The following is a 10892-nucleotide window of genomic DNA, read 5'->3' on the forward strand; positions in this document are numbered from 1 at the left end:
GATGTTTCCCAAACATCATCTGACCATAGAGCCTCAGGGTACCATGGAACCTACTCTGGGAAAAGCCCACATTTCTGGATTTCTGCTGAGTGATGGACAAAGGGCCTGGAAAAAAGTATCTGCTTATGACTTATGCGTCATGGTCACCCTAAAATATGCCGGTCATCAGGATCAAATGCTGTGTTTCTCATAAAAAACCAAAAGAGAAAAGATGTCTTTAAGGAATCAAAAACTTTTATTCAGAATAAGCGTTAGCAAAATGAAGGTAGGTGCCTCATAAATGCAGGGCCCCAGAGTACTCAGAAAGGGATTAGAAAATAATTACAAAAATATTTTGCCACATATTAACATGAAACTACAATCACTGGCTGTAAAATATAGTCAAATGCAATCAAGCTGAAAAGAAAAGGTGAAAATCTCCAGGTTATCTGCCCAGGTGGCAGGAAATCGACAGCCCCGAGAACGCAAGTGCTGCTGTGCCGCCAGGCCCAGGGCTATGATCCAAAGTGACGGGCAGACTACCGGCCTGCACCACCCCACTCAGGCTGCACACAAGACAGCCAGCTTAGGATCTCCGTGGGCTGCTACCTATGTCACAGAGGGCTGATTAAGGGCTTGCAGTGTTCCCAAATAGGGCCTCCAATGAGAGGAGTGGAAGCTGCATTACAAGAAATTCACTGGGGCTGCACTTGACTCTTCAACTTGGCGAGTCTCATGAGGCACTCGTCCCTCCACTGCCTCCTGGCAGCTAAGTGCTCCGGGTCATCAGGGACCTTCATGCACATGTCCTGCAAGAAGGAGAAGGAAAAAAAAGGACAATAAAGAGGAAATAATTTATCAAGAGTGTAATTATTGCTCTTGTTTATGCAAACTGTGCAGAAACTGCTTTCAAAGACAAAAGCAATAAACCCTCAATGAACAGCAGCTTTCCAAATCTTGAAAGACCTCAGTCCCTCAGAGACAAGTCACAATGAGCTACCAGTTCACTGGTCACCCTGTCCTTAAGGTGTCCTGGTGACACGATGGAAGTATGAACAAAGTTATGAATGAGGAACCACCAAGATCAAGGGTAAAGATTCCAGCTGCAGAGGCAGGCCCACCCGCTGCAGAGGTGAGGGGCAGCAAGTGCTCCAGGTAGCCAACATGCTTCTCTGCAGTGAGTTGCAGAGAAGTTACATACCTGGTTAACCTTCTCAGCAGTGGCCCTGGAAAACTCTGGAATGGGTCCAAAAGTCTGTAGGACATGTTTTATGCCTTCGCTGTATCTGTCGCAGTAGCTTAACATACCTGGAATTGTATGAAGACAAGAATCCACAATCTCAGAAAAAAACATTCTTAGTTATATTCAAACTCAGAAATGCATTCAGAGAGTTTCACCCTGGGGTCAGATAAGCTACACTCTTCCCTCCCTGTGAAGACAAGACAGAGCTGGGGCATGTGTAAGGGCCTGCTGGCACTGGAGAAGCGACCCTCCCCATTACGCACTGTCCACGCTGGCTCCTGGGGGTTCGAATGCCAAAAAGTGCTGGTCCTGGCTGGGCCCGGTAGCTCATGCCTGTAATCCCAGCACTTTGGGAGGCCAAGGCGGGTAGATCACCTGAGGTTGAGAGTTCAAGAGCAGCCTAGCCAACATGGTGAAACCCCGTCTCTACTAAAAATACCAAAAATCAGTCAGGTGGCGTGGCAGGTGCCTGTAATCTCAGCTACTCAGGAGGCTGAGGCAGAAGAATCGCTTGAACCCGGGAGGCAGAGGTTGCAGTGGGCTGAGATCGCGCCACTGTACTCCGGCCTGGGCAACAGAGCGAGACTCCGTCTCAAAAAAAAAAAAAAAGTGCCAGGTCCCTCAGACCTTGCATGCCACCTCTGCTGGTGCATCTCATGGGACCCTCCGGTTGGCCTGCGTTCACACACTGATTTGTTGGCTATCACAGTAAGTCCTAATGTCACCAAGTGTTTCCTCCAACCATGGGTGTACAAGGTTATTTGTGTACAACGTTTGAATGCATTTTCCAAGAATTAAAAATGTCAGATCTCAGGTAAACCTGTCACTTATGTCACTGTTAGACCACAGATCTCAGTTAGCACTGTATTGGGTACGGTCAAGGCTGCAGGTACTTGAAACACCGGTTGGAGAGCTCACGTTGGCTTGTACCTTGCTGGTTTGGGTGGATGGAGCCAGGCGCTCATCTGCACAAGCCCCCATGCACGCTCCCCACGCTCCTGCTGCTCCCCAGCCTTGGAGAGCCATGATTTCTCAGATTCTAAGGAGAGGGCCCTGGGACTTTGGTGAAGAGATGCAGGAAGAGGCTTATCCTGGAGGGAGAGGGAGGGAGCCGCACGGGCTAGGCTGACTGTGCGAGAATGGGGTGCGCCCAGGGGAAAGCGCAGGCCAGTCACGGCCCCCACCCAGCACTGGCCTGCCCCGACCCGCTGGGCCCCGCAGACTTACTCTCCCTCACATTCCTCCCCTCCCTGCTGCCGGGAGGCGAACGGGCTGGTGCCGGCCTGTGCTTAGCAAGTCAAGTCAGAAGCCAGGGCCGGGATCCTGGAAGAGGAGGAGGAGGCGTTTCTAGTCCTGGGCGCCATGGAGGACATAGGCTGGGCTACTGCTGCGACCCTGACTCATTTCCCACATCTTTCAAACCCTTAAAGGCTCAGCAGCTGGTCAGTCCGCCTACAAAGGTAACATGGGGACAAACGAAGCTGCAGAACGTGCAGAGCCTGCCCCAGCTCAGCTTCCCACTCCCCACAAAAACCGTGGATGATTAAGTTAAAATACGAACCATCGGTACTAGATACGCTCAAAAAGCAAAAAATAAACAAACATCATCTTTGGGGTTTAGTTTTGATTGACCTATGCTGATTTGAAAGCCTAAAATCATTGGGTTGCAATTTATTTGCTTCAAATAGTTCTTCTCTCTCAGTGTGTTAAAATTTCCCCCAAAATGGTTTTGAAGGGTAAAAGACTCAAACATACCAACTTTTCTGACATTAGCATCTGAAATTAACGGATGGGTACTCTGTTTATAAAAGAAGGGGTGTCATCTCATTTAACCTAAGTGTTAATTTGGCAGTGCAGAATTCTGGAAGTCTCCTGAGCTTTCCAGCACTGGATACGTACTGTAGATGGCTTAGCATTTCTGGAGAACAGAAAACAACCTACACATTTATTTCATTTGGGAAATTATTTACTTCACTTTTGCTAGTTGCTTATTTATTAAAACTAAAGGAGACAAAATCTAGACACAAATACAGTTTATTCCTTCCTTTTGGGGTGGGGGAGGGCAGAGACACAAGAATCAAGTTGAAAATACATTAAATTAGAAGAAAATGGAAAGAGCTGCTGTGGCTGCATATCCCCCCACTTGCAGGCAGGCAGGCGCCCTCACGAGACCCCTCAGCAGCCAGTTCCATCTCCCTCTCCTACCAGAGCAGCCACAGGCCAGGGGTTCAGTTCACGCAGCACTTGCTCTCTGGAACATGTCACATTCTCTGAGCAAGTGTTCATCTCTCCCTGTTCTGTGAAACCATTTGAACCTCCCAGGAGCTTTCTAGAACTTTCTTTCCTTTCTGCCTTTGTAACGTTTTAAAGGGACATTTATTTCTACAAAACTTTTATTCTGTTTTATTCTGTTTTGTAGAAATAAATGTCCCTTTAAAACTTATCATGCTGGAATTCATAATAGTGCAATTCATAATTTTCCCCATTTTTATTCAGGAAACCCTTTAAAATGTCAATCTTACTGATATAAAAACTTTCTGTAACATGCTCTTGGGATGAAGAGCCTCACTGTCTGTGATGAAGTTTAGGCGCCCACACCACGTGCTCACCATGAGATGGGTGCAGCCTCCGGGTGCTCCAAGGGCAGGAGTTCTCAGTGACTTAGACTCACGACCTGCATCTGCCTGATTATTTACAACCATGTCCCAGTAAACTTATGACTGTGACTGTTATTTGCAACTCCTCCCCTTCCATTTTAGGGAGGTGTAATTTATTTTCAACAATTATTTTGGCTTCTCTACACCACGAGAGGAGAATTGGGTGTAAATTACTCTAAAATGCCAATTTCTTTGGAAATAGGAAAAATACAACACAGCCCACTTCACTTTTGATCCCCTGGTCTGCCCTTCCCCACTATTTCTATCTAATCCAGCCTCCCCTGTATTTTTTCTTCTGTGCTTCCATGCCCTCTGTCCCTTTGAGTTCTAATTCTTCCAAAACCCTTGTAGAGCTTGGCTTTTTAGAAGATTCTGAACCTAATTTCTTAAGAGATGCTTATCCAGAAAAAGACAAAGAGTAGAAAAAAGAATTGATTCTCATGAGATTGGATGTAGCTTAACTTGCTGCTTTCTAACTTGCGAGCCTTGGGCTGTGGGCCTCTGAGGGACAGTGGGTTTGAATGCCCCAGGTGCACAGGCAGGAATCCTTTCTGTTCCCATGTATGCAGCAGGCACCAGAGGAGGCCTTAACCCCAGCCCGAGGCCACAGCCACTAGGAGGGATTCCAGGCATCAGCTCCTTGGAGAGCCTTAATTGCCACCCATACATGGGAAGTCCGGTTTTCTTTCACGCAGCTATGAACCCACACCTGTATGAATTCACCTGCTTTTTAGAGACAGGGTTTCACAGAACTCATTAAGGAAGATCAAAAATGCCTCAAAGCACAGAGCGACATTATCTCATTCCTACTCTCAGGATCAAATTCCCACCTGAGTGAGGACTTGCCCAGGGTAGGGGAGGCAGAACCGACCCGGGCCCCTCACCTCACCTCAGCAAGTCCCCGCCCATCAGCTCACCTGCTTCCACTGGCTGGCAAATAATTGCTTCCCATCAATCAACCAAACCCACCAGCCACCAGGCATCTCAGTTTTGAAAAAGGCAAGTGTCTACACAGGAGAGGAAATCTGTGAGGCAAAATGGTAAATAAACATCCACTTCCCCTGGAGGCGATTTCCACGCTGCCAGATTCTGAGATGTCCTCATTTCAAGTGGAACAAAATGCAGGAGGAACCCAAACAGCCCCAGGGACAAGGCTGAGCGGTTTCTCTCTCTACTGACCTGCGAGTCTAAAGCTTAGCAAAGAAACAAACCCGGCTGGGAAACTCTAGGTACCTGGTTCCAGAGGCTTCTCCATGCCATAGCAAAAATCCTAATCTTGTGATTTTTGTACATTGATTTTGTATCCTGAGACTTTGCTGAAGTTGCTTATCAGCTTAAGGAGATTTTGGCCTGCATTCTTATACACCAACAACAGACAAACAGAGAGCCAAATCATGAGTGAACTCCCATTCACAATTGCTTCAAAGAGAATAAAATACCTAGGAATCCAACTTACAAGGGATGTGAAGGACCTCTTCAAGGAGAACTACAAACCACTGCTCAAGGAAATAAAAGAGGATACAAACAAATGGAAGAGCATTCCATGCTCATGGGTAGGAAGAATCAATATCATGAAAATGGCCACACTGCCCAAGGTAATTTACAGATTCAATGCCATCCCCATCAAGCTACCAATGACTTTCTTCACAGAATTGGAAAAAACTACTTTAAAGTTCATATGGAACCAAAACAGAGCCCGCATCACCAAGTCAGTCCTAAGCCAAAAGAACAAAGCTGGAGGCATCACACTACCTGACTTCAAGCTATACTACAAGGCTACAGTAACCAAAACAGCATGGTACTGGTACCAAAACAGAGATATAGATCAATGGAACAGAACAGAGCCCTCAGAAATAATGCTGCATATCTACAACTATCTGATCTTTGACAAACCTGAGAAAAACAAGCAATGGGGAACGGATTCCCTATTTAATAAATGGTGCTGGGAAAACTGGCTAGCCATAGGTAGAAAGCTGAAACTGGATCCCTTCCTTACACCTTATACAAAAATCAATTCAAGATGGATTAAAGACTTAAACCATAAAAGACTTTAACATAAACCATTAAAGACTTTAAACCTAAAACCATAAAAACCCTAGAAGAAAACCTAGGCATTACCATTCAGGACATAGGCATGGGCAAGGACTTCATGTCTAAAACACCAAAAGCAATGGCAACAAAAGCCAAAATTGACAAATGGGATCTAATTAAACTCAAGAGCTTCTGCACAGCAAAAGAAACTACCATCAGAGTGAACAGGCAACCTACAAAATGGGAGAAAATTTTCACAACCTACTCATCTGACAAAGGGCTAATATCCAGAATCTACAATGAACTCAAACAAATTTACAAGAAAAAAGCAAACAACCCCATCAAAAAGTGGGCGAAGGACATGAACAGACACTTCTCAAAAGAAGACATTTATGCAGCCAAAAAACACATGAAAAAATGCTCACCATCACTGGCCATCAGAGAAATGCAAATCAAAACCACAATGAGATACCATCTCACACCAGTTAGAATGGCAATCATTAAAAAGTCAAGAAACAATAGGTGCCGGAGAGGATGTGGAGAAATAGGAACACTTTTACACTGTTGGTGGGACTGTAAACTAGTTCAACCATTGTGGAAGTCTGTGTGGCGATTCCTCAGGGATCTAGAACTAGAAATACCATTTGACCCAGCCATCCCATTACTGGGTATATACCCAAAGGACTATAAATCATGCTGCTATAAAGATACATGCACACGTATGTTTATAGCGGCATTATTCACAATAGCAAAGACTTGGAACCAACCCAAATGTCCAACAATGATAGACTGGATTAAGAAAATGTGGCACATATACACCATGGAATACTATGCAGCCATAAAAATGATGAGTTCATGTCCTCTGTAAGGACATGGATGAAATTGGAAATCATCATTCTCAGTAAACTATCGCAAGAACAAAAAAACCCAACACCGCATATTCTCACTCATAGGTGGGAATTGAACAATGAGAACACATGAACACAGGAAGGGGAACATCACACTCTGGGGACTGTAGTGGGGTGGGGGGAGGGGGGAGGGATAGCATTGGGAGATATACCTAATGCTAGATGACGAGTTAGTGGGTGCAGCGCACCAGCATGGCACATGTATACATATGTAACTAACCTGCACATTGTGCACATGTACCCTAAAACTTACAGTATAATAATAATAAATAAATAAATAAATAAAATCCTAATCTGTATTTATTCCTCTCTCTGCACTTGTGAATCTTTTTGGAAGAATTTTAAAAACCAAAAATAAAACAACAACGAAAAAAACTAGAAAAGTAGTACGTGAAAGAAACAAGACAAAGCTCTGTTTGAATATAACATATATTAAGGACTTAACAGGTGCCAGCAATCCAGCTAAGAGCTTCCATCTGGTTCAATTCTCACACCACCCTGAGGAAGCAGTTACTGTTGTCCCCATTTCACAGATGGGGAAACTGAGATGCAGTGAACTTAAGTCATTTGCCCAAGGTTATACAGCCAGTAGGCTGGAAAGCCAGGGTAAGGAGCCGGCCGGCTGGCTCCACAGGCCAGAACCACCATTCTGAGGGCCCGTCTTTCAGGGGTGTTGTTTGTAAAAGGAGCCAAAAGGCAATGGCACGCTGGCCTCCTGTTTCTCAGAAACTATTTCATTAGATTAAAAATAAATCCTAAAATATTTGCACTAGTTCTAGATAAATGGTAGCTTTTCAGGCTAATAACTACCCTTAACCTGAGATGCTGGCTTTATGAAAACAGTATCAGAAAAGAAGAAAAATTCTCCCAACTCCAATCTTGATATATTCTGGGTGACACAGGGAAGAATGATAAACATTTCTATGGGTTCCCAGCCAGATCTTATAACTCTCCAACTCTGGTCTTTGGAATGCTCTGAAGTTGAAAACTACATCCGTCCACCATTATCATATGAAGCCAATTAGGTTTTCTTATCGTATCTGCTTTGTTTGAAAAATTGTTATGGGCCTCCTTCCTGTCTGCCACTCTATTTGATTCTTGAGTTTCTGGTTTCATTGGCTTCTGTTTCTATTTGTTTGAAAGTCAAAGCTGTTCTCAGTTCTGTCCCTATCTATTTCTTATGATTCCTCAATTATCTTATTTTTCTCAAGAAAAAAAAGGGAGAAAGAAAAACACAGTGGTTATCAGGCAGCGTCTGTATACATTTCAAATGTATAAATTTCTATACATTTCAAATGCTTAAGTATATATACAAATCTATATACATTTCAAATGCTTAAATATGCTCACAAGTTTTGAGGTTCTGGTTGAAAACACCATTTGAAATGATCTAAGACTTTGTGTTAATAATACAAGAAAACTCTTGTTTCACTGCATGAGGCCATCTTTCTCTACATTATCTTCTTCTATTCAGTGGTTATCTTCCCATAAAACTAACACACACGTGCTGGAGCAGATTCCCCTCTTCCCTTCACTCCTCTTAGCTCTTCTTAGCTTGATTCTGATAAGGACTGAAGCAGAGAACACACGGCCCATCCACTTCAGAAATCATCTGTGCACCTGCTGTATGCAGGAACATGTCTAGTAAAGCTTCCTTGAATTATTCATTGGACAGCATATTTCATTAACTACTGTGAAAATTGACTGAACTATTACCAAAATGTAATACTGAAATTATAGAACTGAAGTCAAACAGACTGAGAGAGGTCACCAACTCTCAACCTCCCCTCTCGCAGAGGGAGTTTCCTCTCAACATCTAAACCTCCCACAGGCAGGCAACCACATCCCCTTTTCAGCTTACCCACTTAAAGCATGGGCCTTTCCTGGACATCAGCTCCTGTTACTAGGAAGTTCTTCCTGCCATGTACTGAGCCCAAACCTGTCTGTCTGCTTGCCATTTCCAGTCTTTCACTCCACTTCCGCCCCCACAAAACATACAGACCGAGAGACATACGAGAGACTCTGGTCACTTTTTTCTGGATAAGCCCCAGCTTCTCAGTATCCTTTGTTAAATGCAGGCCATGGAGCTGCATACAATATTTCTTTTCTCTTTCTATATGTTTTCTAAGTTAGTAATGTTATTAATCTATAGTAATTGTAGAAATTTATAACACAGACAAGCAAAAAGATACTAAAAGTTACTTATAATCTCAGTACCAAGAGATAGCTGGCAATAATAACATCTAGGTTACATCTCTCTCCAGATTTTATACATAGTTTTAAAATTTTACTTTGTTTTAATTTGCTATAGGTTTTATTGGTTATCAAATGACATTTTCTTTTTGGATCAATTAAAATCTGGTTGACAGAGTTTCATTCTTGGAAGTTTCTTGTCCTTCCCAAGTCGTCTTTCCTTTAGAGTTACCAGATCACAGATAATGGGCTCAGACCTAATTCCCCCCAAGCCTTCTGGAGGCAGCGTCTGGCCAATGTCTGGTCTGCCCCACCCATATGCCCCTCCTCAGCTCCCAGCCTGTGGAAGCCCTCCCTCACTATAGGCTCCCTAGCCTTCTAGAAGAAAACCTTGCTCATATTTGGGCAGAAGAGATATCCAGCAGAGGTCCCTGTGGGTTAAGTCAGTCCCCTATCTTTTCGTCTTGCCTCTGTAAATAATGTCATCATCTTCCTCAGGAAACTACCACTTTCCCTTCTGCCAGGCTGGGTGACATGCTGCGAAGTTTCTGTGACATCACCAACCTCTCTTCCTTTGAGCTCTCACCTGAGCACAATGCACCACACGGAGCCCTGAGGTGCATGCACTCCACATGGATTTACATCTCAGTACACAGCGTTTCGAATCCCTGCCTTGTCTGTGAATCACCAGGGCTGGCCATCATCTCCTATATACTGTCTCTATTCAGTTGTAAGAAAAGGCAAAATGTGACTGTTTACAAAACCCATGACAACACTAAATAGAATGGAATTCCCATCCTGGCCCCAGATGCATACCTTCTGCATTGAGATGCATGGTTTCCAGGGGTCCAATGAATGCATACCGCATGCCCAACCCTTCTGACATGACAAGGTCCAGGTCACTAGGAGACACGATTCCTTCCTACGTGGAGAAATTGGGCGGCATAGATGAGTTTTGTAAAAAGACAATTTCATGACCACCACTTCCATCCTAACTTCTTTAGAGCAGGATCCCAAAATCTTCTCCAAAGCACTATACAGGGTGAGTACCACTTACCGAATATGCTTATGACCAGACATGTTTTGGATGGCTGATATTTTTTAGATTTTGGAATATTAGCATATGCATAATGAGATATTTTGGGGATGGGAGCTGAGACTAAACACAAAATCTATTTCTGTTTCATATACACCTAGCCTGAAAGTAATTTTATATAATATTTTCAATAATTTTGTGCATGAAATAGTTTGTGTACACAAAACCATCAGAAAAGCAAAGGTATCACTATCTCATTTCAGTGCTCAAAAAGTTTTGGATTTTGGAGCATTTTGGATTTTGGATTTTCAGATTAGGGATGTTCAACCTATGATAGTGTTTTGATTGAATTTTGCATGACAAAACTATAATATTATCATATGTTATAAATGGCTTGGCGTGGTGGCTCACACCTGTAATCCCAGCACTTTCGGAGGCTGAGGTGGGGGATCACCTGAGGTCAGGAGTTCGAGACCAGCCTGGCCAACATGGTGAAACCCTGTCTCTACTAAAAATACAAAAAATTCGCCGGGCATGGTGGTGCATGCCTCTAGTCCCAGCTACTCAGGAGGCTGAGGCACGAGAATCACTTGAACCCAGGAGGCAGAAGTTGCAGTGAGCTGAGATCATGCCACTGCACTCCAGCCTGGGCATCAGAGCAAGACTCTGTTTCAAAATAAATAAATAAATAAAAATTAAAAAAATACACACACACACACACACACACATATGTATACACTAAAAAGAGATTTTTTGTGTGTGTGTGTGTGTGTGTGAAATGGTCAAACACAAATTCACCTTTTCCATCCCTGCAATCTACTAGGGGTTGAAATCAATTCCTCTTG

General features: G+C 43.7%; 1 protein-coding gene across 2 annotated transcripts in view, besides 2 other annotated features; it reads right to left on the bottom strand.

The window, feature by feature from the left end:
• Window positions 1-214: 214 nt before the first annotated feature.
• The window catches only part of CRYL1 (crystallin lambda 1), a 122189-nt gene continuing 111511 nt past the window's right edge, over window positions 215-10892 (bottom strand). For both annotated transcript variants that reach the window (NM_001363647.2, NM_015974.3), the window contains 3 exons: window positions 9828-9933; window positions 1181-1287; window positions 215-788 (listed from right to left, as the gene is read on the bottom strand). In NM_001363647.2, the coding sequence (NP_001350576.1) occupies window positions 675-788; window positions 1181-1287; window positions 9828-9933 (327 nt within the window). In that variant the 3' untranslated portion in view covers window positions 215-674. The remainder of the gene's footprint in view (window positions 789-1180; window positions 1288-9827; window positions 9934-10892) is intronic.
• Window positions 2382-2901: an enhancer, noted in NCBI's record as "H3K4me1 hESC enhancer chr13:20979975-20980494 (GRCh37/hg19 assembly coordinates)". NCBI's record gives its function as "activates a minimal SCP1, AML or CMV promoter by ChIP-STARR-seq in naive H9 embryonic stem cells {active_cell/tissue: H9 hESC(naive)}" and the evidence as "EXISTENCE:reporter gene assay evidence [ECO:0000049][PMID:30033119]".
• Window positions 9405-9906: an enhancer, noted in NCBI's record as "NANOG hESC enhancer chr13:20986998-20987499 (GRCh37/hg19 assembly coordinates)". NCBI's record gives its function as "activates a minimal SCP1, AML or CMV promoter by ChIP-STARR-seq in naive and primed H9 embryonic stem cells {active_cell/tissue: H9 hESC(naive and primed)}" and the evidence as "EXISTENCE:reporter gene assay evidence [ECO:0000049][PMID:30033119]".

Source organism: Homo sapiens, chromosome 13 (assembly GCF_000001405.40).
Source record: "Homo sapiens chromosome 13, GRCh38.p14 Primary Assembly".
NCBI classification, from domain to species: Eukaryota; Metazoa; Chordata; class Mammalia; order Primates; family Hominidae; genus Homo; species Homo sapiens.